The 22,813-nt window shown below is 33.7% G+C and overlaps 1 protein-coding gene and 1 long non-coding RNA gene across 15 annotated transcripts in view, besides 2 other annotated features; one reads left to right on the plus strand and one right to left on the minus strand.

The window, feature by feature from the left end:
• The window catches only part of BRINP3 (BMP/retinoic acid inducible neural specific 3), a 380,207-nt gene extending 363,189 nt beyond the window's left edge, over nucleotides 1-17,018 (minus strand). For 5 of the 13 annotated variants that reach the window (XM_011509476.3, XM_047419245.1, XM_011509472.3 and 2 more), the window contains exon 1: nucleotides 13,562-13,976. The gene's annotated coding sequence lies outside the window, so the exon portion shown is untranslated. Of the gene's footprint in view, nucleotides 1-13,561; nucleotides 13,977-14,933; nucleotides 15,142-16,601 lie in introns of those variants that run through there. The other 8 variants (XM_017001129.2, NM_199051.3, XM_017001127.2 and 5 more) reach the window with 4 other exon arrangements.
• Nucleotides 6,760-6,960: a silencer, noted in NCBI's record as "peak569 fragment used in MPRA reporter construct". NCBI's record gives its function as "represses an SCP1 promoter by STARR-seq MPRAs in K562 erythroleukemia cells {active_cell/tissue: K562}" and the evidence as "EXISTENCE:reporter gene assay evidence [ECO:0000049][PMID:32103011]".
• Nucleotides 12,080-12,280: a silencer, noted in NCBI's record as "peak571 fragment used in MPRA reporter construct". NCBI's record gives its function as "represses an SCP1 promoter by STARR-seq MPRAs in K562 erythroleukemia cells {active_cell/tissue: K562}" and the evidence as "EXISTENCE:reporter gene assay evidence [ECO:0000049][PMID:32103011]".
• A 395-nt stretch (nucleotides 17,019-17,413) lies between the features above and the next one.
• BRINP3-DT (BRINP3 divergent transcript) lies at nucleotides 17,414-20,548 on the plus strand. 2 transcript variants are annotated; one of them, NR_110716.1, is made up of 3 exons: nucleotides 17,414-17,646; nucleotides 18,236-18,294; nucleotides 19,499-20,548. It is a non-coding gene; the product is annotated as a BRINP3 divergent transcript (long non-coding RNA). The 2 variants fall into 2 exon arrangements; NR_110717.1 differs by lacking the exons at nucleotides 17,414-17,646; nucleotides 18,236-18,294 and adding an exon at nucleotides 17,705-17,785.
• Nucleotides 20,549-22,813: the final 2,265 nt, after the last annotated feature.

Raw genomic sequence — 22,813 nt, forward strand, 5'->3', positions numbered from 1 at the left:
CTGTCCTCAAGTTCTGTACATTCTTCCCCCTAAATATAAGATTTACCACTTTTTCTCCACCCCCATTTTACTTGATCAGCTCATAGTATACGCTCAACAATACCAACTTTGCCTCTAAAATGTATTACTGCAATAGCTTCATGACTAGTTTTCCCACTAGCCATGTGGCTCTATCCAATCTGTTCTTTTTACTACAGTCAGAGTGATCTTACTAAAAAGTTAAATCTGAACATGCAAATCCTTTACCCCCAATTATGTAATGACTTTTGTTTCAGGATATCTGATCTCTTTAAAATAACTTATGAAATTATCTTTCCTTGCTTAACTCTCTATCCATATCTTTCTTATGTATATGTGCCAGGAGAGTTATTAACCAAACACCAACTTTGTTTTTCAGCCATGACCATAGACCTCATCTTCACCCCATTTTCTCTCCAAGATCTTAGTTTATTGCGGTTCCTCTGCCTGAATGACTGTTTGGACTAGGATCTCTTCATCTGCCTAACATTGACCTTAAAACCTCAGACTAGATTATCATTTCATTCACAAGGATTTTCATGACCCTACAAAGTTGGTTGGTCATTTTTTTATGCTCCCATTACTTTCCCTATGATGGTACATTTACATGATATTTGCTTGCATGTTTGCCCTATTTCCCTGCACATCTCCTTTCCTTCAATTAGATTAATTTTGGGAGAAAAATAATTGCTCCTATCTTAATGACAAGAAAATAGTCACCAAAGTTTCTGAAATAAACCTGCATAAATAAGTATTGTTAGAGTGAATGAATAAATGTTGATGAAATAAGTACTAAATTAGGGTGCAACTGCAACTGGTGGTGTGATATGGCTGGCAAGACCATATAATAAAAAGAAAATTTATTCTTCATGGAAATAGAATCTACAGAGAATCTGTATCCGAATCTGCATCTGAGCTGAGTGTCAGGATGAAAATAGCTTTGGCAGTTGAAGAAAGGGAGCAAATTGAGTTATGAGGTAATGATTTTTAAGACCAGATTGTAAACATATATTGACAAGCTCAAAGAGTATCAAAGCAAAATATTCTTTAATTTTAATTTTGATTTTATTTTATTTTGAGACGGAGTTTCGCCAGGCTGGAGCGCAGTGGCTCGATCTCAGTCGCTGCAACCTCCTCCTCCCAGTTCAGGCGATTCTCCTGCCTCAGCCTCCCAAGTAACTGGAATTATAGGCATGCACCATCATTCCCAGCTAATTTTGTATTTTTAGTAGAGATGGGATTTCACCATGTTGGTCAGGCTGGTCTCAAACTCCTGATTTCAGGTAATCCACTCATCTCAGTCTCCCAAAGTGCTGGGATTACAGGCATGAGACACCATACCTGGCCCAAAGCAAGATATTCTTAATGTTAAAAAATGTTAAGGACAAAAATAGAAAGTATTATTATTAATTATTAGCTTTGGACATAACAATAAGAGATTATCATATTATGCACAACTGGAAAACTAAGGACTTTTTCACTTATGTTCTATAATTCAATTTCTAAAGACAGAAACTATATATGAAAGTCAAACCTAGATCCTAATCAACAAACAGCCAAACCAAAATCCCCCTCTAATTGAGGAGCACAATGAGAATTTAAAGAATAATAATAAAGAAACAGGAATTGAATAGCCTGTTCCTCTCCATTTGGAAAATCATATACTAGGATTATTTTGATTGAGATCTCCCTGACTACCTGTGAGAAAAGTAAAGAAAATGATGATAAAATGAAATGCTATTTTTATTTTCTTCACAACAAAATTAACACCTTTTTAATCTTTTTGATATACCAAGCATTTCACGAAATTTTCTTATTTCAGTTCTCAGCAGCACAGTGTAGTATATATTAAGATCTCATTTGTACTCTTGAAGTCAAACTGAATACTATAGTTTTCCTGTTGTACTCTACTGTAACCTAAAAATAACCAATTGCAAATTGAAAGTTATTTCTTAGAATTTTTGAGGTCACCTTTGCATAAAATAAAAATTCAAATGAAAGAATACTATTATCTCAAGCTATTAAAAGCAAGCAAGTGTTCTGAGTAACTACATATTATGGGTTTTCATTGAGTGTTTGCTTTGTATAGTTTAATATTTTGAATTAAAGTGATAGTTTAAATCTACTAAATGTGATTTATTTTAAAACATGTACTGAAAAGTCAAAAATTAGAAAACATTTTTCATATTACATATGATATTTATTGGGTTGAAAAGTATAATCATGGCTAAACTGGATTAATTTACTTATCTGTTCCTCAGAAAAATTGTAAGATTAATCCAGTAGGCTTTGATTATTCAATCTTATTATAAATTGCTTTATAGTACTACTAAAAATAAGACAATTCAACACTTACATAGTTGGTGTCTAACAATGGGAGACATAATAAAATTTCAGAGAAATGAGATGACACTTAATATTTTGCTAAAATGCAATCATACAATTTTAATTAAAATCTGTTTTTTCATGTTCCCATACAATAGATAATGACAAGGATATAAGGATATGAGGGTCATTTCTAACAAGTATTATTTTAAGTGATAATAGCGTGAAAATTCAGAACTACAACTAAAAAAAAAGGAAAAATTATAACATCATTTGCCAAGAAATATCCTGGGTACAAAAAAAAAGTTTTAAAGACATTGCTCTTTTAGGACATCAGTCAATACTCAGGTATTATATTCCATGAACATATTCAAACATAAATAAATAAGGTAATACATTATCTTTTTACATGTGTAAAAACACAGATTTTCATTTTTGGATGTTCATAAATTCTATATATTCTGTAGTCAGATTAGTAAAAGAATGAGAGCCTCATTATTCAATAATTTGTATCATTGCTTTTTGGTAATGATGTATAACTTCACACTTTAGTGAAATACTGATTACAATCTATAATTTTAGATTTCAGACAACTTCAAATTGTTCTTTCTTAATCTTTACATTTTTTATTTAAAGGTAATGAATTTTTAGATAGCCAGCAAACTAAAATTTGCTACTGTATTTTCTAAAGATGTCAGATAATTCTTCAAGATATGAAATCTTGTTTTGCACAATGTAGGCCATTCGTCCTATAAATAGGTAGGATTTTGCTATTCTATTTCTATACTCCAACAAGAGTATGGATAAATAATTGCTTTATCTTTATCTTCTGTTGAAATAAACAATAATATGTAAAAATGGGAATAAAATAATTCTGAAATTTAAAAAGACAAATTATCACTGAATATTTCTAGGAATTATAACAAAAATTACGTCTTTCAAAAAGTGTTTTTTTTTAAAAAAAAAAGTAAACTAAAAGTTAGTGATAATCCTTAAAGAAAAATGGTATTTAATTCCAAGCATCAAAGCAAACTGAATTTATCTAATGAGGGGCTACAAAAATGGCAGAAATGGATGTTTATTTGAAATAGAAATCCCTTTTGAATTTCAAAGACAAATGTCTTGGTGTATTAATAACTACCTTAAATTTTTTGAACAAAGTAGGTCATAAATTATTAAAGTAAGTAGAGACTGGATAGATTTTCATTCATGAATCTTGTAAAATTTTACAATATGCTGTTGTTATTCTTTTTAACACCTTTGTTCATATGACCAGATTACGAGAGATTTGCTGGCAGTTATTATGTTTTCGTAATCCCTGGAGCCCCTACTACGTAATGCACTGTCTTAGGCATAGTAACTTTTTGGAACAGGTACTGAAATGAACTCCTGTTTATTTTTTAACTTTATAAAGAATAAATATTTTTGGGCTGCTTTATTATATATGCTTGCACTAGCAGGAGATTTCCATTATATTAATGTGCTAGCAATGCATTATTATTGCACTTTTTTATTTTTCTATTCTTTTTTATTTCTTTCTCAAAATAACTGAGCTTCCTTGTCTTCAATCATATTATACAAGTTAATACCGACCTCAGAAATGCATTCTTCTAGTCATATAACTCTGCTAAACCTGTGTTCCAGAAAATTATTCTTCTTGTTTATTTTAGCTGATCAGGCAATATAGTGCCCTGAATTACAGCTTTGTTTTCCAACTTAATGAGGGTTAGTATTCCTCTGAGAAATGTGTACTGCTAAGGAAACTAATCTCCTACTTCATCCTGTCAATACAGTCTTGTCCTACCAACAAAGAGGAAGTTAAATGCTAATACCTAATGGTAGAACTGATTAGAAGAATGAAGAGAAGGTAAGTTCCATTCCTTAAGTCGGCCCAGCACATAGGGGAAATTATTCTTAAGAGCCCCAAATACAAGAATCACCTAGGTTTTCTGATAAATATAAAATATCATGGTGTTTCAACGTAGATGATCATATAAGAAAATATCATTGTAAGATTCAGATTGTACTTCATTTTAATTCATAAAGAAATTGTCAGGCACTAAAGAATGAAGTCCAAATGAAAGATGTTTAGAAAGTATATTAGATTGGAAAATCTAATTTTAATATAAAGTATAGGGAACGCTTTGACAAAGACTCTTTTCTGGACCTAACTCTAGTCAGGCTCCTGTTAACTCAGTTCTCAGCCCCTGACTTCTGAGCTTCTGCATTTGTCTCTATGTTGTCCAATTTTAGCAAGAATCCTGCTAAGTCAGTTTTATTTGAATCTTCACCCTTAATATATGATCCGCCTAGATATCCGTTTGGGTTCCTCATTCTTCACTATCCTGAAGGTGATATCTGACCACCCTGGCCTGTCTTTAGCAAGAATCCTGTTAGATCAGTTTAGCCAGAATCCCCTCTTACCCCTAATGTTTTCTCTTAGTAATTTTCCATCCACTGATCCCCATCCTGCTCCTTGGCTAGAAATTCTACTTTTTCTTGTTGAGTTCAGAGTTGAGTGAAACAGCTGTCTTCCACTTACCAAACCCCATTAAAGTAGCCCACCTTGAATAAGGTCTATCCCACAAGTCTTTAACAAGTATTATGAATAATTTTTTTATTAACAGCTTCAGAAAATGTATGACAATTAATATGTTTTACTACCAAAACAGTAAAACAGAAGACAGTTTTAAAAAAAAGATTAAAACGATATGTAGAAATGAAGTAGAAATGTTAGGTGCAGATATCAAGATTTAATTGTTGCTATGACTGGCAACATGATTTTGCCTTTCCTGGCAGAATCTAAGAATAGAAAGTGTTCCACTTGCAAGGATAATAAATGCTTTTTGTTATTAAAAGAATTTTGTCATGTAAGTGTCAATTTAAAGAAAATGTGGACAATATTGCCCCTGCACTTTTGGATAGTGTGCTCAATTTCAGTTTTACAAAGTTTTTTTTTTTTTCTTTAACAATGATCTCAAATAAAAACTAAAAGTATAAAAATGGTTCAGCAAAGATATTCATACTGCTCTAAATAATGGCTTACTAATATAATCTAAGAACAATTCTCAATACTGGGACAAAGAAATCTTGGAGTTTGGTAACCAAATGGAAATCTCTCAATCTGTAATTGCTCCCAGGCTTACCCTGGAGTTAACCAGGCATACAAGGTGAAATGAGCTGTTTACTTAGAAGTTATTTTCTAGAGAAGCATAAATAAGAGCATGTACTCTGAAATCACTGACAAATAAATATTACATTTAAGGAGCTTTCAAAGATGGTTCAGTAAAACTTTTTACTAAGATAAAAAGAGGTAGTACTTATCTAGTCCACAGGAAGAAACTTTCAGAATTTCAAAATAATAATCTTCAGTTTCTTTTTTACCAATTTCTAAGGAAATGAAAATGTTTCAACATTTTTAACCGAGGAATGTGTGTTACAAATATTATTAGTAAACCCCTTAACTTGTCTTCTTACTGGTTACAGAAGTCATTCAATTCACATGGTAACAATTCCACTGTAGTTTAGGCAACATGAGGCAGATTTGTCTCTGTTTTATACACTAATATCTCTGTGGCACCAACAAGAGAACTTGGCATGTAGAAGGTCCTAAATAAATGGAGTTTATTAATAATAAATTGAATAAAAAATAAATTTGTAAATAAAACACTCGTAATGTTAATCTGATTTTTCATTAATTATTATAATTTAAAAAAATTATTGGAAATGTTTCCATTAAAAAGAAGCCAACATATTTTGGAGATAAAAAAACACAACGAACACAACAACACACAAAATGCCACTAAATCATCACTCTGAGAATTGTTATGACTATTTTCAGAAATGTCCTGGTTTCTCCATTTCTCTTTAATAGTTATTCTTTAATACCCTACATAGAAAATGCATTATTCATTGACTTTTCTCTATAATGAAGAATTAGACAACCCTCTTCTCTCTAAGAGAGTTATATTTACAGTATCAAAATTGGACATGTGTGCAAATAAAATGAGTGACCAAGCATTAAATTTGATTTAGTAGATTAATTTTAAAAAGTGTACTACAAATAGCAAAAAACTGTAAGCATCTTATGAGCAATGATTACATATTTTCATTGCTATATTCCCAGGGTTTACACCAGTGCACATAATTCATCATACATCTAATGTACATTTTTTAAAAAAAGGGTCAAAAACAGAAGTGATCGACAACAAGCAAACAAAACTAACACCAAGTACTTAAATCTTTATATGCTGTTTTCCAATTGCCTCCTTAACTGCCATCTAGTAAAGCATGTCAGAACTCTGGGTGTTTCTAATTAAAGAATGCCTCTTTAGAAAACCTTAGCACAACTTACCCAGTTGACAGAGAGGCTTGGATAGCCCAAATTTTAACCCAGAGGTTAGCCTTATAATGTCTCCAAAAGTTACATGGTGTCTAACTAAGCTTTCTTTCTTACAATAAGCATCTACTTTTATCATTCCCCAATATACAATTTTGAGAACACTTGACATTTCCAAGGACCACTTGTCAATACATTAATTTAACTTCTAAAATAGCCCAAACTGTCTTCAAACTCAAAAGGTTATGAGGTACTATTTCAAAAGAAAAGTAAACCATTTTTAAAATTTAAAAACATTTTTGAAAAACATTTTTAGAGATTTTTGATAACAGTCTTTACATAAAAAAGAATCACTCAAATTTTGAAAAGAAAGAAAATTAAAATGAGACATTACGATATCTGACATAGAGAGACTATTAAATATTAGCTATTCTTAGCATGTCATGCACAAACTAAGTGGTAATTTTTAAAATCATCTTGTTTGAACTTGTCAAGAATTACCTTCTGAACAATAATTACAGCAATCACTGTTACTGGACTTATCTGAGACCAATATTTAGTAATAAATACATTTTAATTAATAGTTAATAATTGTCTGGTTTCAGATCTTGAGCAAATTGTCTTCAGCTTTGACTGATGCAAATATATATCTAAAATATAGGAAAGCATTTCAAAATTATATCACTTCTGTAATTAAAGAATCATGATAATAAACTTATTTACCTTACTAAAGATTATTAAAAAGAAATATTTTAACAGTTAATCAAACACTTATTATTGGAGCTGCTGATTCTTACTTGAAATCAGAATTGATTTCCTTAATTAACAGCTATGAATGATAGGTTTAAAAAGCCTGTCATATAATGACAAAAGTGATCTTTCATTTTTATTCTGGCCTATCTTACAATTGTAATTTGTTGTTTCGTCTTTCAAATTGATTGAACAAGATATTTGTTAAAATTTCTTCATTTCATGGCTGGATGAAAGATACATACAAAAACCTGCCAGAGTTCACTCTAAAAGGAAACAAGAATCCTCTGAATTATTTTCCCTATAGGTAAGTTACTATTCAAACATATTAGCGTTACATTTTTGACCAAAATATAAAGATAGCTACACACTTAATAAGACAATAATCTGACTTTGATATAAAAGTTCTCAAACAAGGAATTATGGATTGCAAAATTGTATATCTTTTGGGGGGTGGGAGTAGAGGAGGCTTATGAATCCATAAAGTGTCTCCACTCAAAAGTGAGTTAGTTGCATAAAACAATTAATTTAATTTTAAAAAGGTGTAAAAATTATTTCTAAAATATACTTTGAATGTCCTTTAAATTTTTTTTTTCAGGAGACCCTTTTTTCTTAGGTATGAAGTTTAAGTTTCAATTCACAGAGAAAGCTAGATTCACTTCTCTAGTTCACGTTAGGAAAAATAATAATGCTGTCTTTGAGTTACTCCAAATTACCTGCTGAAACTTTGAATAAGTAGAAATGAGTATCTTATACATCTGATAAGCACAGATTTCTTCATAATTGTTTACCCATAAATTTCTTTTAATAAAATTAACAAGTTGTTTAAAAAACTCTCTTTGGAGTAAAATTGATATTTAGGAAAAAATTACACTTTCTAGTTGTTGGTACTAATCATTGATAATTCATTTTCTTCTAAATTACTCCATTTTGAAACATATAGTCTTCTTCCTCATTATTGTTTGGTATAATCTTGACAATATTACTTACCACATTTATAAAATGTACTATTACTGTGTCTTTATATATTAGTGAACTGGTCTGGATGAATAATAAGAAATTCTATTACTGTAAACTCAAGTATAGTCATTTAATTTTAATATTTTCAATAAGCTAGACTTGATCTATGTATTAACATGCTTGGCGTTATATGCAAAAATGTTAAGAAAGCAAGCATTAATTATCTTAAAATAGTATTTTGTGCAACTTTGCTGCATAATTTATTCAATTTTTCATAATTTTTCTTCTACCAATTTAGAGTGTATTTATAATTATTTAAGAAGTGTTCATGTCTGAAAAAAACAGTATTTCTTCTGTGTATATACATTTACAGGGCTGACGTTTCAAACCATCAGAAATATTACCATACTAAAGTCATGAAAACCACTTTACTTATTATCTATCCCAGGAACTTCCTGATTTTATTAATTTTTGTTCTATATTTAGTTTAGCTATAACAGAAGGGGCTTTGGTGAGCAACATTAAATTGAATATTTAAAAGCAGTTACAAAAAATTTGTCTTAAAAATATATGCATAAGGTATTATATAGAACCCAATCATACTCAACCTTCATGCAGATATGTGCTTTTTAATATGATATTTGAATAAACTCATGCTTTAATGGCTAAATTTAGTTTTTGATTTAATTTAATCACATTTTTTAGACTGGCTTACATTTTTGAACAGCATCTGAAACATTTCAAAGAAAATATTTGTTATTAGTGACAGTGAGAATTTAATGAATCTGTAAAATAACATTGTAGTTATATACTGGCCACTATTTGACACTGAAAAATCTAAAATGCATGGTTACTGAATTCTGGTCTTCCCAACTCTAGATTGTTTTTTAATAGTGCAATATTTTAGAGATAGCTTTTAAAATTAACAAATGCAACAGTCCAGAAAAGTTAATAAAAAAAAGCTTAATCCTGATGAGCTTGGCTAATACTCACAGAAATCAGGAAAAATAAGTCTATCTATAAGTATTCTTTCACAATAAATCTATAATGGAATATAAATGAAACACACCATTATGAGAGAATAATTCTTACATGGCAGAGAACTATAATAAATTCTAATGTAATGTTCATGTATTTATTAATTTAATCAATAAATGTGTACTTTATAGATTTAATTTGCTGGAACTATAATATGGTAGCTACTTTATTAGCTATTAAAAGGAATTTGTTTTGCTTTGGGTGCTTTTAAAGGCAACCACATCTCATCTGAGTTAATTAGGGTTTAGGCATTAAAACAAATACTTATAAAAAAATAGTAAAAATAGGTTGCACTGAGGGTACTTTTTAACTCTAAACTTGAACAATAAAACATTGACAAATTATGAATAGTGATTATTGAAAATAACAATGAAATAGAAGAATGAGAATCTATAAGATTTCTCAGTTTAGTAGATTGCATGTCATTTTTCACCATCTCAATTGATACAATCATGGTTGAATATAAACATTTCAAAATTTGAACACAAACATGTATTTCATGATAAAACATCAAGTAATCCAATCGACTCATTATAAATATTTATGCTATATCTTTCAATTTTTGGGAAAAGATATTGATTAGTAAATCATAATTGAGTTATTGCAATTATTAGAGCATCAATTAATTACTCTTGATTAGTTATTTTGAGTATGAAATTGGGAAATGCTCCAGAACTGTATGAATGAATACTTTATTTTAAACATTAAGTGTAGAGGAGTGGATTAAAGGCTTATAAAGTAAGCTTATAAAGTAATTATGAAGACTTTGTAATTGGATAGGTCTGCAGGTGAGTAATTGGATACAAATATTCTTGCTAGCTTATATTTATGCTTTGAAAAGATAGGGGCAGAAACCTTCAAAGTTCTTTGTGAGGATATTTCATAACCAGTATAAAATCGTTATGGTGGCTATTTGATGCTATTAAAAAATAAAAAATTAAGAACTTGGCCAGGACTTCCAAGTATATCTTCAGTAGAAAGGTCATTAGTGTTCATTATTAAATTTTATACTCAGAGGCTCATTTTCAAAAAACAGGATAGAATATTTCCTAAAATAGAATAAATATTATTAAACTATCCTCCTCCTTTTAGCAACTAAGATTATCCATTAGCAATCAATAATATTCACATAGATTATTTGTTATTTTGCTTTCCTTTAAAAATTATGAATTATTAACACTAAAATAATAAAGTTATACAGAACACATAGTAGTGCATGAAGAAAGTGGACAGAGTTATACTTCGAAGTGTCTAAATAAGTTTATCCAAGTAGTTGCTAAATTAAAACACCAAAAATGCCGGATGTCATCCTAATTAATTCTAGTAAACTTTATATGAGTTTGTAAAAAGCATTGGAAATTAGAAGTTTGACTGTCTAAAGTTTCTCCATTTTTAAATGATTACATGAAAATATTTTAATCTTGTTCCCAATTAAGAGTAGAGATCATCAGGTTGACAATATAAATCTGCTAAGAAATCAGATGTCCTTTCTATTAAATAACAATGAGAAACCAATCAAAAGCAACTATTTTGTAAAGGTGACTGTACCCCAAACTGAATAAAAGCAAAGGTAAATATACTATAAATAACAACTAATATGCCTCAGGAAGTGTATTATTTCAAGCTTTTTAAATTACACATATTGAAACTGTTATACTTAATCAATATCAAATATTTATTAAATTCATTTGACACCATAACACCACTGACCAAGAAGATTTGATACTAGCATTAAAAAAAAGTTGAGTCAACATTGTTTATTGTGTGGAGATACAAGTTTATCAAAAATGTCTAATTAAAAATTCAAACTTACATGGTATCCCTTGAAAAATATATTTTGTTTTCATAACATATTTGTCCTTTTAAAGCATCCATATCTCTTATGTCATTTTATGTACAACTCTCTGAGGTAGGCATTGTTTCCTCCATGTGAGAGATGAGAAAAATAAATGAAGAGTGGTCAAGAAATCTTACCAGGAGTACATTAATGCCAGGTAGAACTAGAACTGAAATTCAGGAAGGAAGTCTACGTGTACAAGCACTCTACTTTTCCCAATAACCCTTTATTACGATGTGAAAGAAAAAAACATTAAAAGCCTTAGAAGAGAACATCACTAATCATAAGCACACAATCATAATATCCAAAAATCTTTGGGATATTTTTCAAGAAAAAATATTTTTTTTCTAAAAACAATATGTGTGCAAAACAAAGATAACACAAGTTGGTGTCATATTCCAATTTGCGTCTGAACTCTTTTAATATTAATATGCAATTTGCTAAATTACAAAATGTTTCAGACTCTTATTCTAGTAAATAACTGCCTCTTTTAAAGATAATGTGGAAAAACTAAAAATAAATACAGGAAACATAAGAAACTGAATCATAGGTTGATAATGAAACATAAAAGTTTGGAAATCCCAACAGTTGCATTCTTTGTACTTGTGGAGAGAAACCCACAAATACACTACACTGCAAATAAATACACTTTTATTTAAAGAATCCTCAAATCTAGGAGTCAAGATAATGGTAGAAATTACACACACACACACACACACACACACTTTGAGTCCCAATGGTTTCTTCCTACTTAGGTTTTATTTACTTAATTATAATGTACAATAACTTTGCATGGAGAAAATCAAGATGTATTGTAGTTTATGAAAATGTACATTTCTATGATGATGATGAATTTCTTAAGATAAGATATCCTATGAGAGGATGAAATCACGTAATATTATCTGATTAAAAGAAAATGAAATTGATCGTTATATGGTATCATGTCTATTTCATTTGGAAAACATTATTAAAACAACATAGATTTAAAATAAATACCTTCTCCCACCACCAAAAATGTGTGCATGTATACAAATATATATGTATACACACACACAAACATATATACACAATGAGCATATCTACTACAATAAAATTGCTAAGGATTAAATGCAAAAGTATTAGGGAATTAGAATTCATTGACAAATTACTTTCCCTAGTGGAGGAAAAACTACCTTTTGCATCCAACTAAGAAAAGCACTACAACTTTGCAATTTTACAACCCAAAGTTACAATTATCTTTCTTATTTCTTCCAGGTTTTATCAGTAAGCCATACTAGCAGAAAAATTATTGATCAGGGATCTACATCAATAAATATAAGTACTAAAACTATTTCCAGAGATAATTTAAATAATACAATTTCTTAGAGAAGAGAAAGTGTTATTAACAAATAGAAGAGTTTTATGATGGTGTTTTAGTAATTTTTCTCTTTTTTTTTTTTTTTTGCTTCACTGTGTGGAAAGTCCAGGCTCCTTCAACATGTTAGCAAAAAATAACAAAACAATATCAATAATAATAACAAAGCTTATTTGAGTATTCAGAATGTGTTTGTCATTTTAATTGAGAAAAATCTGATAGTGGAAGAAATCTATTGGCTGCTCAATCTACAAAACTGAAAATGTAAAATAAATTTATTTGGGGAAGAAAACCCATAATTTTCTATTTTTTTTTTTTTTTCAGTTTTCCAACTGGTTTTCTAAACCCAAAGATTTTCATACTGGGGTTGTACGCTACACTGCCCTTGGGCAAGCTTTCTTCTTTTTTCCTTCTATTTTACAACCCAACCCACCCCCACCTCATGTATTTTTTCTTAAGGTGGAGAAAATAATGGAAATACCTACAAAACAGTTCTCTCGAGTAGTCAGAATTAATTTGATAGTTCAAGAAACCCTTAATAGTTCTTCACCTGTCCTTTATATATTAAGGTCTGGGACCTTAAGAAGAAGCAATGTTTTTAATGCATTTCTGCAACTGCCATCTTCCATGTTTTATTAAGATTATACATTTCTTCTTCTAACTCTCTACCCTTCCCATTTCTTCCTCTAACCTTGGTCCAGTTTCTGATTTTTGTAACATGGCTACACATTTAAATAAATGCACACTAAGCAGTTAAATTAATGCATGTTAAACATCTAAACTGTTTTACCCTGTTTCGTGAATGTGAATATTAAGAAGTTATGCATCATAGCAGGACCAACTGAAAATGCATATATTCCATTGCTTGCAACACAGAAAAAACATCACGATAGTAAAACACAAGTTATATGATTGTCAAGAAAATACATTCATTCCTTACCTGCTTAACTGCATGATGACAAACAAATCTATGTAACACGCAAAAGAAAGTCCCCAAAATCTGAATCATCTGTCTTCCAAGCTGCTGTGGCAGTTTTATATCCTGGTGCTCTCTTCTTTGCTTACGTACATTTGACTAGATAGAATATTTTTAAGTGATACTAAGGTTAATTTGCAACCCTAGTCACCTTTTCCTTCTTTCAAACAGCCAGTGGGCATTTTACACAGCTCCAAACATGCATCTTATCTTCGGAGGTAGTGCCTACACGGCGTTTCCCAGCAGAATTCCTGTTACAAGGAGGTTCCTTCTCTAAAGGGCTGATCACGTTCTCGACCTGGTGCAAAGTAAAAGCCTCTCCGGTTCAACTCTTGGGGACTAGGAGAACAGCCATCAGAGACTTAAACTCTCTGTCACTGTTTGGCTGTGGAACCAGCAGTAACCAGCGGCCAAGAAGCACCACCCCCTCTCCGGTGGACTCTGGAAGAGAGCGCTCCCAGTCCCAGATCTTCCTACTTCCCACCCCCACCTCCAGAAAGAGGAAAATAAAAATAAAAGGCCAACTTTAAAGTGGGTATAATATAAGCTAGACAGATTCCAAACCCTCACTCTTTGCTTTTAACTTCAACCTTATATTCCAAGCTCTAGCTTCAAGTTGAAATCTAACTCTCTTCCGCTCTCCCCACCGCCCTCCAGATTCTTGGGAGTTGGTGAAGGAAAGGAAGGAGTGACCGTCAGCAATAATACTTTAACACAGAGCCTAAGAAGTCATTCAACAGTTCTAAACCCTACTTCGCAGTCAGACAAGGACAGTGATTAGGGTTTTATAAAGCAGGCATTCTGAGGAATCGTCGTTTACTAACGTTAAATATAGCTCATTAAAATAAATAAATATTAACGCAAAAAGGTACTAAGAGACTCCAGAGATCTTAAGTCTATTCTCTCATACAGAAGAGGTTTGCTCAAGTTTGGCTTAGGAAGGTTGGAAATGGAGCATTCTGGAAGGATGGAAACCCCCTGGCGCACCCCACTCTATGGGGCTGCAAATGCCCACACCAAGCACACGTTCGCTGCAGGGGCTGAGTGCAGAGCCTGAGCTAGCAGGTCAGAGTAGGGGACACCTTTCCTACACGCATGGGTTATTCCCACATCAACACCAAGCCTGGGGCCAGCTGGTCAACCAGGCACCTTGCTCTCCTCCGTTCCCTGAGCTCAGGTGGCATAGGCGTTGCCGTGAGCTGCGGAGAAATCTCCACGCAGAGTCGCCTGTTGATAACCCTCCAGTTAAAACGTTCTTGGCAGCGGGAGCCCCTCAGATGTAAATTTCCCTTTCACACGCTTGAGCTTCAGGTATAATACAGCAAAACGCACTTACCTAAATACTGACTGTCTGTTCCTTACTGGATCTGACTGTACTGAAAGTTTTTTTTTTCTTTTTCTTTTTTTTTTCCTCCCTCCACCCTTGCGCAACAACAGCAGTCCTCCAAAGAGAATGTTTGAATTGAATTATATGAAGCCCTCCTTTCTTCAAATGAAGTCACGGACTCTGATGGCACTGGCTTGTCAGGCAGGACGACCGGACTGGGAAAGAGACCAGGTAGAAACTAGTGACCTAGTGACGGGTGAGGGGCGCCAAGTGGTGCGGACCACAGTCTCAACCCCCGTTCCCTCTCGGTGGGAGTCAAGGGGGAAAAGCCCTTGAATCCCGAGACGGGGGGATGGGGCGACGCTGCAGCTGGAGTACTTTTATGTCTGGGAGCTAAAAGGGCTTTTGAATTTAAAAAAACATTGCTTGGGTTGTCGCGTCAGCCATCAATGACGACAAGAATAGTTATTTCCCAGAAATTAAAAAAAAAAAAAAGGAAAAGAAAAGCGTGAACAATAGGTTCTTACCTCCATGTATCCCAAGAAAAGGAAATGTTGTAGAGACCAGGAACTTGTCCTTAATTTGAGGGCGGGGGGCGGATGTTCAGAGAAAACCCTCAGTGGGTGTTAAAAATTACCGATACATGCAGGTTTGGCATTTAATGAATATCGTGCTTTCCTCATTATGTGTCAATTGTGAAGTAAAAGTAAAGATTAAAATGTTTCTCAACACAACTATACGGAAGAGGAGGTGATAATCTTGTCAGTTAAGTCCATAGAAATGTTCATAAAAGCAAAAGGCACTGACCATATTAACATGCCTATTAAACACAAGGGTTGGGGGCAGACAAGTATGAAGAGTGAGGCAATTAAATTTTTCATGTAAAGTCTATTCTTGAATTTCAATTTATCAGAACCAAGATAATCAGGGGTTTCTTCTGATTGCTCCTCTCTGAAATGAGTACTCTGTGTCCAATTAACTGTTCACCAGCTAATTCACAAAATCAGAAATGTACTGACAAATACTATGCCTGAATTAAAATACAATGCCTAAAATAACGTGCTTATGTGTGATTTGAAATATTTTAAGAAAAAAAAATGGTGCCCTCAAAACTCACAGTCCTCTTCCTACCATTCAGTGGCATTTTAGTGCTTAAGGTCTTGCTAAATTCATAAAAATACACTTTGCAACAAAGTCTTCCTTCAGTCATGTAATTGCTTATCATGAACAAATGCTGACCTGAACAACCTTCTGAATATCCGACTAGCGAACTTTCCAGACCTTGCAATTGTCAGAAGGTCTCTTTTAAGCTCTCTCTTAGATAAACCTATAAAATGTGACATTTCAAATGGCACAGGAATGTGTGCCAAGAAGGGTTAATGGGGGTGGGGGCGATTAATGTCCGTGTAACCCATAATATAAATGAGGACAAATATTTTAAAAATAAAGAAGGTAAAAGATATTGGGGTAATACATGGGATATTGGGGTAATACATTACATGGGTTATGTCTTAGCAGTGCAGTTGCCACTAACATACTAATTAATAAATATGGCCATATGGATCTTTCAGTTCTGAAAGTAACAAAAATGTGAAAAATGAAATACTTCAACAAAACAGAGCTTATTAAAAATAGCAATAGTTAAGTTTCTAGTAACAGATAAAGAGAATAACTTACCAGAGGAAATTTCAGGAAGCAAGAAGACTGTGAGAAAAATACATCCAGGATTCAAATAGATATTCCATGATCTTCCAAATCAAGGTAAAGTAGTGAGCTGCAGGGTAGTAGGACTTTAAAATAATCAGCAGTTCCTGGTGGCATGTAACCAAGTAAAAACCAGTTACACAGAGAGCCACGAACCCCCAAGGCAAGAAAGCAGAATGTGAAAATGCTTTATATGGGGGGGTGGGGAATGGTGGGGGGTGATTCGTGGTGATCCTTAAGCAAAGTGAAAATTTACAGGCTGCACATCCCCATACAGTGGGGAAAGGCAGAAGCTGTGTAACCCCAGAGAACAGGAGGTGGAATACAGATAAATCTGCAAAGAGAAGTAAAAGGATGTGTTGAAGACAACGAGATAAAGAGAGAACTAGTGAGCAAGGCTGTAGTCATCCTGATAGATATAGCAGCAAGAATGATTTAGGCTGCTGGGGAGGATCCAATGAGAATTCAAGAGGGCACCACTTCGGAAATCCTGCTCTGATCTTCCCACTCTCAGTTCTTTAAGAGTTACCTGCGTTGGGACCATTATCATTAGGATTAATAGTATTCCATCAGTGCATTTCACTAGTATTTCCCTTGAACATTTTCACTTGCAGCAACTGAGGGAGGCGTAGTAAGGAAGCCCAACACAACCAATTCCCCCACTCCCCAAATAAACCACTACGACCGGTCACATTACGATGACCAAATCATCAGCGATTTGCACGAGGCGGTGGGGGGTGGGGGGTGCGGGCGGTGATCGAAGGGCTGAAGATGCGGAGGAGGCCGAGTCGCTAGGCGCTTTCGGGGGCGCTGTGCCGGTGAGGCTTAGGCAAGGGGACGGGGAACCGTGGTTAGATGCAGCAGCGGCGGCAGCAGCCCTCCCAGGTCCCACTTCTTTGGCGTTCCTGCTGCCTGTGACTCAAGACAATTGACTTCCACCTGAACCCTCAGCTCCGAACGCCTTGCATTAGAAGCTAGAGCTTTGGAGGTTCTGAGGACGGTCCCTGGGGAGCAAGTGGTAGGTTTCGAGGCGCCCGCTTCCCCTCTGATTCCTGCAGTAACTGAGAGAGAGTGTGCCAGAAATGGCTTTGCTGCCGAATGCATTATCTTGCCATTTTCGTGTCCCAATACTGAACAAACGATCGCCTGATCGATCGGTAAGATTAGCTTTATTCCTTCTCCCTATTCCTCTCCTTGGCCCCATTCCCTCTGCAAGTCCAAACCCCAGTCTCTCTCTCTCTCTCTCTCTCCCTCCCTCTCTCTCTCTCTCTCTCTCTCTCCAGGAACTTCTTCCTCTTTGAAACCGGTTTCCCAAGGGAACTGCCTGTGTGACTGAGAGGCTAGTAATCTGTTTGTAGATGATTTATATTTTGGCTGCAGAATGAATCCCCCTCCCTACTCGGAGTACTCTCCTTAGAGATGATCCCCCGCCCCCTCCCCATGGGTTCGCTCTCAGAGCTGGGATCTGTATAAAGAGCGCTGTGGGAGTCTTTTGCCCTCCGCTCTAGCTCTATCTTCCTCCGGACCCCGAAGCTTAAGAATTATCCGCCTCACTCTCTTTTTTAGAAATAGGAGGGAAAGGTAGAGTGGAAATTGATTTCTTGCAGAGACTGAGGCGCTGAATGATAGAGGGAATAAACATTTGCCCTGGATAAAAATGTTCTTGGTAAGTAATCTTATTTTCTGCGGTTGAAAAAGAAACAGATTGCTTCTCACTGCCCCATCCCCCACTCCATTCATTTATTTGCTCTCTGTATGTAAATCACGAGCTGGGTCAGTGGAAATTTTTTTTTCCTCTTCCCTAGGAGAGTAGTAGCTTGTAAGGGTGAAATTGAAGTAGAGGGTTTTAAGGAGACAATATGAACGCTTTAAGGTCCTTTATATCCTGCATTAAAAACTCAAAGACAGATAAAGCAGTTAAATCCCTGTTTGTTTCCAAAAGTGGTATTTAAGTATTTCCCTTATTTCCTACTAACTGTCTTTCCTTTCTGAAAATAAAGAAAAGAGTTTTAGGTAGTGGGCTCATGTCTATGCTTTTAGTATGTCTTGGCCATGTTCTGAAATACAATTTCAGTTCCAAAATTAAGAATGGTTATTTTTCACATTTCGCAGGTATATTAAAGCTATAGAAACCACTTATTAAATGTGCATCTCGGTTCCAATTATTGCACCAGATACAAATTAGTAGTATCCACAATGGCATATTGTGGTGGTACTACAAATTCATAAAGCCCTCTGGTTTTCCATGAGTCTCTAGCACCCCCAGCCTGTGCACGCTCACAATGTGAAGAGTGGATTGGTGTAGCAGTAGGGAAGAAGCCAAACGGCTCTTGATTGTGCTTACATCATATGTCATTAAGTGTAGAGAATAACATGTTTTGCAAATTGTGTGAACTTGGTTTTCAAGAGTAAGCTGACCATTTTTGATGCACAAAATTAAGGGAGATTTGCTCTCAGAAAAATCATTGCATTTTTAATTATAAAATATATTTTACTGGTAAAACATTTAAATTAAACTTTCTTGTCTATTGTTATTATCCTACTGCAATTTATTATCCTCTAAATTTAATGACAAAGAATAAGCTAATTGGCACAAAATGCATTCCTGATGAAAACAGGATGACTGAAAAATCATCTGAAATGTATAATACTAAAATGTTATTGGTAAGATAAACTTCATTTTAGAAAATCAGTATTCTAGAAATCAGTAGTATAAAATTTCAGAAGAGAGGTAGTCAAGTGGCATATTGCAAGACAAAATATGTTTGTTCTCAACTATCTATATAGTCTTTATAGCCATCAACATTTGCAAGAGAAAAAAAATTCACTAAGGGCATGTTGGTATAACACTTTTTTCTTTCTCTCCTCAGGCTGTTGTCCAGCTCTAATGATGTCCTAGAGCAGAAGTGTTTCTTCTGATGTCTCATTTTAACAAGAGGATGATGTCTGTGTATGTCTCTGTGTTTTAGAGAGGCTGGCAAATGCTGCTAAGAGGATCTGAGGTTCACATAAAGAGGATGAAAATTCTGAATTACTTTCATTGCAAATAAACCTTAACAATTGTGAGAGTTAGAGAGCATACTTTTCACATAAGACTTTGGTATGCTGCCTAAAGCTACTTACATAATTTGCTATTCAGAGAAATGCATTTGTTTATTGAGGACCCACCCGGACTTAAATTGGAAAAATGTAACATTCAGATTTTTATTTTATATGTGAAATAAATGTGTGATTGCTGTTCTTAAAAATTTGAAAAAAAAAGGATAACAAGAATATTAATTTTGTGACCCATAGTTCATGAACTTTAAAAGTGTTTACAGCATTTAAAGTTTATTTAACAATTTAAGTATTTGAGCACTATACTAATTCATATGGTTACATTTGATCAACTCCTTCATGAAGCCATAGGCTTTATATCTCCTAGCTGCCTTTTACCTTCAGAACAAATCTGGTTTATACTTAGATTGCTCCAAAAGTTATGCATTTTAATTTTATGTTGAAAATGTCTTTCTTAGATAATCACGGTGCATATTTGCAGCTAATACTTTAGTATATTTTATATTATTGGTAATGCTTTTGTTAGCCATCCTGGTGCTGCCTTCTTATAAGAGCTATGTATGAGAACCAACTAATATATTTCTTTTTTTTTTTTTTCTTTTTCTTACCTATTAACCCACTAAAATTTCTAATCTAAAAGCAATATTCAAGTTACATTTTATTACAGAAATTGGAAAGCAATTTGCCTGGGAAGCAAAATGTTGATATGATTCAGGTGATTTTAACATTAAATCTAACTTGTAACAAAAACGGATTATATAAAGATAAATAAATTGAGACTATTATTTGCATAGCAAAGAAAGTCAAACATGACCCACACATTTATGCACATATAATTAATTTCAATAAAATGTTTATATTTATTCATTTTCATCTCTGCTATGTTTGCTTTTAGAGTTTTCTCTTTGAAAGAGTCTAAAGTTTTAAAAATACCTGTGTATGCAGGAATCTTCACATTTTATTTTGTAAGATCAATAATGCTGCTAAATAAACTGGGGCTAATGTGTTCAAGTCTCATAAAAAGTGTGTTGGAACTTGAATGGACATTAAGGAACATTTAATCTTATCACTCATGATGATGAAGAAGTTAAGAACCAGAGAGGTTAAATGATTAGTGTAATCATACACTAACTAATAACCTAAGGAACTTTAAATGCAGGTTTATTAACTTCTTAGCTAGTGTTCATTCTATATTAGTTACATTCTATTACTAAGACAGGCATTGTTTGAGAGGGGGCCTAGGAAATAAGTGAAAGGAAGAGAAAGTAGTACAAAGATGAATAAATAGTAGCCAGTCTTTTTAGAGTCCATTTTGTTGATAACTAATACTCTTTATTGTAGAAAACTTTTATTCCCCTGCTTTATTTTATCCTCCACTCCGCCGCCTTCCCATGATTGGAGATTTCATGTAATTTACCTTTGCAGAAAATATCTTCAGTATTCTTAGACATAGTGCGGTGGCTCGCACCTGTAATCCCAGCACTTTGGGAGGCCGAGGCGGGCGGGCAAATCACGAGGTCAGGAGATGGAGATCATCCTGGCCAACATGGTGAAAACCTGTCTCTACTAAAAATACAAAATTTTTCTGGGTGTGGTGGCACGTGCCTGTAGTCCTAGCTACTCAGGAGGTTGAGGAGAATCGCTTGAGCCAGGGAGTCGGAGGTTGCAGTGAACCAAGACCTTGCCACTGCACTCCAGCCTGGCAACAGAGTGAGACTCTGTCTCAAAAAAAAAAAAATATATATATATATATGTGTATATATATATATATATATACACACACACACATATATACACATATATATGTGTATATATATATGCATATATATACACATATATATGTGTATATATATATACTATATATACACATATATATACGTATATATATACATATATATACACATATATATACGTATATATATACATATATATACGTGTATATATACATATATATACACATATATATACGTGTATATATATATATAGTCAGTATTCTTTTTGTACACTCATTGAGTTGCTGTTCCCTAGACTATTTTCCCTCATGGTATATAAACTGTCGATAATTTCAACCACCTGCAGTGTCATACTCCGTCATGTCACCTGTCTGCTCTACTTTTTAAATTCCCTAAAAATGTAGAAATAGGATTGTTCCAAGAGGAAAGCTGTCCTCTCAAAATAAGAAGTTTAATTAGACTCTAATACATATCTGAAACTATACACACAGAAACACACACACACAATATGAAAGAAACGCAGAGACTAAGACAACATCTTTTAATGGAAACATTATGTAAAACATACAAACAAAAAAATCTCACCACATGTTCCATTAGTATAAAAATAGTTTCTAATTTGAATAAAAGCTACAAGACTTCAACTATTTTGGAAGGTTCAGTGTTCTGGAGTAGTTTGAGCCATACCAGTGTTTTCATATACATCAATATTTGTGTGTTACATACAAGCCATTTTTGTTTTGAAAATGGCAATTCTAAAGTAGAATATCAACATTAAGATCTATTTGGCACTAATCATCACTTCAAAAGGGTTATCATTACTGGATTAAACAAGATGAACATAGAATCAAATCAAACATTTTAAAATGTCTGCAGTGTATGCTTTTAAAATTTAAATTTTTGCACTAATCTGAAAAATTAGTGCTTTATAGAAGCATTTCTAGAACCATATTTCAGTAGCATTTGTATTGCTGTGTGTGTTTTTGTGTGATTAATAATTAGTTTTCAGGCCATGCGCGGTGGCTCTTGCCTGTAATCCCAGTACTTTGGGAGGCCAAGGCAAGCGAATTGCCTGAGGTCAGGAGCTGGAGACCAGCCTGGCCAACATGGCAAAACCCCCTTTCTACTAAAAATACAAACATTAGCTGGGCATGGTGGCAGGCACCTGTAATCCCAATTACTTGGGAGGCTGAGGCAGGAGAATTGCTTGAACCCAGGAGGCAGAGGCTGCAGTGAGCCGTGATCACACCACTGCACTCCAGCCTGGGCAATAGAGCAAGACTCCTTCTCAAGAAGAAAAAAAAAATAGTTTTCACATGCGTATAACTGGGGGGCAGAGCTTAACCTATTTCAAAGCACATACTGTCAACTCTCAGTTCCATGAAGAAGGAACCA

Source organism: Homo sapiens, chromosome 1 (genome assembly GCF_000001405.40).
Source record: "Homo sapiens chromosome 1, GRCh38.p14 Primary Assembly".
NCBI lineage: Eukaryota > Metazoa > Chordata > Mammalia > Primates > Hominidae > Homo > Homo sapiens.